The following is a 6000-nucleotide window of genomic DNA, read 5'->3' on the forward strand; positions in this document are numbered from 1 at the left end:
GTTTGGGGTGAGTGGGGAAAGCCTACTAGAGTCCAGTTGCCCAGCTCTCAGCAGCACAAGGCCTGGTCAGAGCTTCCTTCCTTAAGGAGCAAACACACAAGACTGCATGAAAGAAATAGGACAGGAAAAGGAATCCTAAAGCAAGCAACTGTGTTAAAATCCAAGCAGGTATTGACTTCTTTTGTACAAAGAAGTAAAATTTTTCCCACAACAACTACTTTTCTCTTTTTATCAATATTTAATTTTCTGTAACCACACTTCACCACCACTTTTCTAATAACTTTTAACTGCAAAGTTATGTGACCATTTTTCTCTGCCTGAGAAAATGGGATTTTTTTTTCTTTTCTTCTGAATACTGCCCTCCCCGCAGCCCCTCCCAACCCCCCGCCCTGTGACAACCTCAGAACATCAAAGGCAAGTGTTTTATGCACCGTGTACATTCACTGTCTGGCTCTCTGCCAGGCTGGAGGGGAGAGCAGAGACTTGTGCTGGCCAGGTCAGGCTCTGTGCACAGGGATTTGGGCTGCGGGGGAAGCTGCTCTTTATCCTCTTCTGCCTTAGAGCAGGCAAGATGGGAACACTCTTCTTAGCATCTTTTAATCCATGTTGTCTGTGCTCTGTCACTCCCGCTTCTGAGTATTCCCAATAGTCAAAAGAATTTTGCCCAGTTTCCCTCAGTCCTTTGCATTACACATTATAAATTACATTTGAAGACACATCTTTGCATAAGGCATCAGGCCCTGTAAGCCACCCCATCCCCATCCCCACTCAACACTCACTGGTGAGATGATAAGCCATTTTTTAAATGTTTATTTTATTTTATTTTTTTGAGATGGAGTCTCACTCTATCACCCAGGCTTGAGTGCAGTGGTGCGATCTTGGCTCACTGCAACCTCCACATCCCGGGTTCAAGGGATTCTCCTGCCTCAGCCTCCTGAGTAGCTGGGATTACAGGCGCCCGCCACCACTCCTGGCTAATTTTTTTTTTTTTTTTTTTTTTGTAGAGACTGGGGTTTTACCATGTTGGCCAGGCTGGCTTTGTACTCCTGACCTCAGGTGATCCACCCACTTTGGCCTCCCAAAATGCTGAGATTACAGCATGAGCCACTGTGCTTGCCAAACCATTTTTTTTCAAGTAGGTTAGTTTTCAAAAGCTGTGTGGTCTCATTTTACTGTTTTTTGTTTGTTTGTTTGTTTGAAGAGTCATTACTTTATTGAAGCACATTTTACATATATAATTTATTCCAAGTATACAATTAAGAGATTTTTTATAATAAAAAAATTAGCTGAGCCTGGGGTGACATGCACCTGTGGTCTCAGCTACTTGACAGCCTGAGGTGGGAGGATCACTTGAGCCCAGGAGGTCAAGGCTGCAGTGAGCTGTGATTACACCACTGCACTCCAGCCTGGGTGACAAAGTGAGACCCTGTCTCAAAAAAAAAAAAAAAAGATTTTTTAGTAAGTTTACCAAGTGTGCAACCTTTGCCATTTAGAATATTAGAATATTTCCATTACCCCAACTGTTAATCTCTGCCCCCTCTTGATTAAGCCAAGCATCATCTACTTTTTGTCTCTATTTATTTGCTTTTTCTGGACCTTTCACATAAATAAAATCATATCAGATGTATTCTCTGTGTCTGCTTTCTTCCACTTAGCATAACAATTTTGAAGTTCACCAAAAATCATAGCATGAATCACATCATTTTTATTGTTGAATAATATTCCATTATATGAGCATACTTTATTTTGTCTATTCATTCACCAGTTTGTAGACATTTACATTGTTTCTAATTTTTGGCAATTATGAATACTACTGCTAGCAACGTTTATGTGTAAGTCTTTGGACATATTGAGAGAGGAGGAAGGAAGAAACCCATCAGGCAGGCAATTAAGGGGGGTCCTGGGTTGAGTTCTTTCAGACAAAAGAACAGCCTGCAGGCACAGATAAGAGACCTTGCACAGTGGGGCTAGCCTGAGACATGCCCACAGCCTCACAGATAAGAGCGGCTATACAGGAGATTTGTCTAGACATGCCTGCAATGGAAAATTCTGTCCCCTGACACGTGCACAGTAAGGGGAACAAAACAATGTGGAGTAACTCAAGCTAAGGACCCACATGCACATTAGGAGTGTTACCAGGGGGTCCTTGCTCCCAGAGCTCTCAAGATGGTGGCAGGCCGCTACCAAGATAGCGGCAAGCCTCTTGTTCTCTGACCTGGGATTCTTGGCCTCATGGATTCCAAGGAATGGAATCTTGGGCCATGCAGTGAGTGTTATAGCTCTATTAGAAGCCGTGGGTCACGGCAGAGAACTGTGGAACCCAGCGACTAGGGTTCAGCTCGATTAGGACAAACCTGGGCACTTAGCCATGGAGGAACAATGGCAAGCCTTTAGCCTGATCGGGAGTGGCAATGGGTGCCTCACTGGATCGGGAGCACAGCGGACACCCTGCCAGATCCGGAGGGGTGGAAGTCAGCGGCGGGTATGCGAGGGCGGCAAACAGCAGTGGTGGATGGTGAGCAAAAGCTCAGCTCGAGCTGTAACACAAACATGGACCAAAACAGTGTGCAGTTGCAAGATTTAAGAGTGAAAACAGAGCTCCCATACAAAGGGAGGGGACCCAAATGGGGTAGCCGTTGCCAGCTCGAATGCTGGGTTTATATCCCGATCATTGTCCCTCCCGCTGTGCTCTGAGGCGATAGATGATTGGCTATTTCTTTACCTTCTGTTTTTGCCTAATCAGCATTTTAGTGAGCTCTCTTTACTACATGATTGGTCAAGTGTGAATTAAGTTGCAAGCCCTTTGTTTAAAGGTGGATGCAGTCACCTTCCCAGCTAGGCTTAGGGATTCTTAGTTGGCCTAGGAAATCCAGCTAGTCCTGTCTCTCAGTACCCCCTCTCAACAAGAAAACCCAAGTGCTGTTGGGGAGGTTGGCCGACGACCACTCTAACTGCTTCCTGCTGAATTGGGGCATAGTAGGAGTTGTGCAGTTGAGATTTCCTTGGGAGGGGTGCCTTCGATGTCATTAACATTGGAGCATGGGCTAGAAGGCCAGTCCAGGGGTCTGCAGTAGATCTTAGTTATGGACTGCATCTGGGGTTCCATTTGAAGAACCATTTATAGTTTTACAGTTTCCATTCTGGAAGAGACAAACTTAACAAGGAGGTTAAAGATACAGGGATTGAAGTGTATGGCCTGAAGTGCAGGGGATTATTTCTTTGGCATGCTTCACAGGCCCTGACTGTCTACTTGATAGTTTTGAAAAGGCCTGGTCCAGTAAATAATGATTTGGCCCTCTGATGGGTGCTATCAATGCCTAAGTGAAAGGTTTGGTGAAGGATTTTAAGTAATTTCCATTGGTTAACTATAAGCAAAAGTATTTTTTCCTTTTCAGTGGCTAGCCATCCTAAGGGGAGGAAACTATGTCCTTGTGAGGTTCCCCATTCTATTTCTTCTGCTGAGTACTGGGGCTTGGTTTCCCAGAGGGGATTACCCCATACTAGTGGTCCTTCTATAAGCATTTCTAACGGAGGGTCTCACCTTGAGGCTCCTTTGGCTTCAATATCTGCTTGGCTGTTCCCTTCTATTTCCCTTTCCTTTCCGATGAGCCTGGTAGTGTAAGACTGCCACCTCTTTAGGTTTCTGTACAGCCAATAATAATCTCCTAATGGCTTCCTGATGTGTGATAGGTGTTCCTTTGGAAGTTAGGAATTCCCTTTCTCTCCATATTGCTGCGTGGGCATGGAGGACTAGGTAAGCATACTTAGAGTCTGTATATATATATTTACCCTTTTTCCTTCTCCTAATTCTAGTGTATAATGGCCCCTGCTTTTGCTAGTATGTCTCTCCCTAACAAAGGAGTGGGGCTTTCAGGCATAATTAGAAAGGCATGTGAAAACAGTAAAGTTCCCCAGTCACAACTTAGTGGCTGGGAGAAGTATCTAGTGACTGCCTGTCCTAGGACCCCTCGGATAGTGACAGATCTGGAGGACAGTTGTCCAGGACAGGAGAGAAAGACTGAGAAGGCCGCGCCAGTGTCCAGGAGACAGTTAACCTCCTGGCCCTTAATGGTCAAACATACCCGGGGGCTCTGTGAGGGTGATGGCATGGGCTGGCACTTGCCCCCGGCACCCTCAGTCCTGCTGCTGGATCATCTGGTTAGTGGCTTCTGACTCAGAGGACCTTTGTCCCCCGGGGCAGTGGGCCTTCCAGTGATTCCCTTGACATAAGGGGCATGGATGAGGGGGCGGCTTATGTCTATTCAGACAATCTTTTTTAGTGTCCTTGTAGACCATACTGGAAGCAAGCCCTATTAGGCATTCGATTTGCCCAGACTTTCTGTGTTCCAGAGCCTCCAAAGTCTGCTTGCCTGAGGGCCATGACTAAAGCAGTGGCCTTTTTCTTATCTCGTTTGTCCAGTTCTACCTGTTCCTCCTGATCTCTATTATAAAAAACCGAGGTTGCCAAGTTTAATAGGGTTTCTAAGTTTTGCTCCAGGCCTAAGGTAGACTTTTGAAGTTTTTTTTTTAATGTCTGCAGCTGACTGAGTGATAAATTTATCCTTTAAGATTAGTTGGCCTTCAATAGAGTCAGGTGACAAAGAGGTATGCTTCCTCAATGCCTCCCTTAGTCTCTCCAGAAAGGCAGTAGGATTTTCTTCCTTTCCCTGTGTTATAGTGGACATCATTGAATAATTTATAGGCTGCTGCTTAGTTTTCTTTAGTCCTTCTAGCACGCAAGTTAGTAAATGTCTGCAGCACCAATCTCCATGTTCTAATTCTGCATCCCAATGAGGGTCTACACTGGGAACTGCCTGCTGGCCTGTGGGGAATTGTTCTCTTTCCTCTGTTGTCGTTCTATCATTGATCTGACTGAGATACCAGAGATCGCTGAACTCTCGGGCTGCAGTTATGGTGGCACTTCTCTCATTTGGGGTTAGTGTCTGATCTAGCAGTAACATTATATCTCTCCATGTCAGATTAAAGGATGATTGTCCTAACCGTTATAAAACATCAATATAGCCATCAGAGTTATCTGAGAATTTACCTGGGTCTATTTTAATTTGCTTCAAGTCTGACAGGGAAAAAGGTACATACACTCTGACCAGGCTGAATTCTCCAGAATACATCTTAGGGTAGTTTTTGTCTTGGGGGGAATGTTTCCCATCTGAAAAAAAAAGACAACCTTGGGAGGCCAGCACCCCTAGTCATTTCCTGATGAGCATTAGTCCTAGAGCGTCCTCTATGGTCCTAATGCTTATTCCTTTCCAGGGTGCATAATCACCCATGGACCTCTGCTTATCAGATTAGTTACGCTCACCGACGTAGCAGTCCTGCATCCTTTTTCCCACATTTCTTGACCACAAAGAAAGGGGTCTGGGCTGCTGGATTCGAATGGTCCTTTACCAGTGTGCCCAACATTGCCTTTGTGCTCAGGGATGAGTCCTAGAGCAGGGCTGGGTTCCTGAGTATTTCATAACAACCCAGTTGCCCCATCAGGATGCATTCCCATAAACAACAGTTCTTGTGCAAATTCGTTTCAGAGAGGGTGTAGGTAACCTTTTGAGTCAGGATTGAGATAGAGTTTTTTGATTCTGTAAGTACTTTAAGACTTGGCTGAGTGCAAACAGCTCTAACATTTGAGGAGACCAATTATTAGGCAATTCTTCTAACTCTGCTTCCACAAGAGTCTCCCTATCAATTACTGAATATCCATTGTGGTTTTTTTTTCTCAATCACCTGGGAGGAACCATCTATCCTTGTCCTGAAGGGAGTTCCTCCTAGGTCTGGTCAGACCTTTGATTAGTAATTAATATTTAAATCTCCTGTTAGGAAACCTGCTGGGTTAAGGGAATTTTCAGTGGTTAATGTTAAGTCACCTTTTTCTAACAGAATAGCCTCATACTTTAAGATTTGAGTTAGTAAGCTACCTTTTTGCTTTTTTGACTAAGGATAATTCTGAACTGGTGAGGTGTGCTCACAATGAGGTTTCCTCTAAAA

The 6000-nt window shown here is 44.7% G+C and overlaps 2 annotated features.

The window, feature by feature from the left end:
* Positions 1881-2382: an enhancer, noted in NCBI's record as "H3K27ac hESC enhancer chr10:86284877-86285378 (GRCh37/hg19 assembly coordinates)". NCBI's record gives its function as "activates a minimal SCP1, AML or CMV promoter by ChIP-STARR-seq in naive and primed H9 embryonic stem cells {active_cell/tissue: H9 hESC(naive and primed)}" and the evidence as "EXISTENCE:reporter gene assay evidence [ECO:0000049][PMID:30033119]".
* Positions 2383-2882: an enhancer, noted in NCBI's record as "H3K27ac hESC enhancer chr10:86285379-86285878 (GRCh37/hg19 assembly coordinates)". NCBI's record gives its function as "activates a minimal SCP1, AML or CMV promoter by ChIP-STARR-seq in primed H9 embryonic stem cells {active_cell/tissue: H9 hESC(primed)}" and the evidence as "EXISTENCE:reporter gene assay evidence [ECO:0000049][PMID:30033119]".

Source organism: Homo sapiens, chromosome 10 (genome assembly GCF_000001405.40).
Source record: "Homo sapiens chromosome 10, GRCh38.p14 Primary Assembly".
Taxonomy (NCBI): Eukaryota; Metazoa; Chordata; class Mammalia; order Primates; family Hominidae; genus Homo; species Homo sapiens.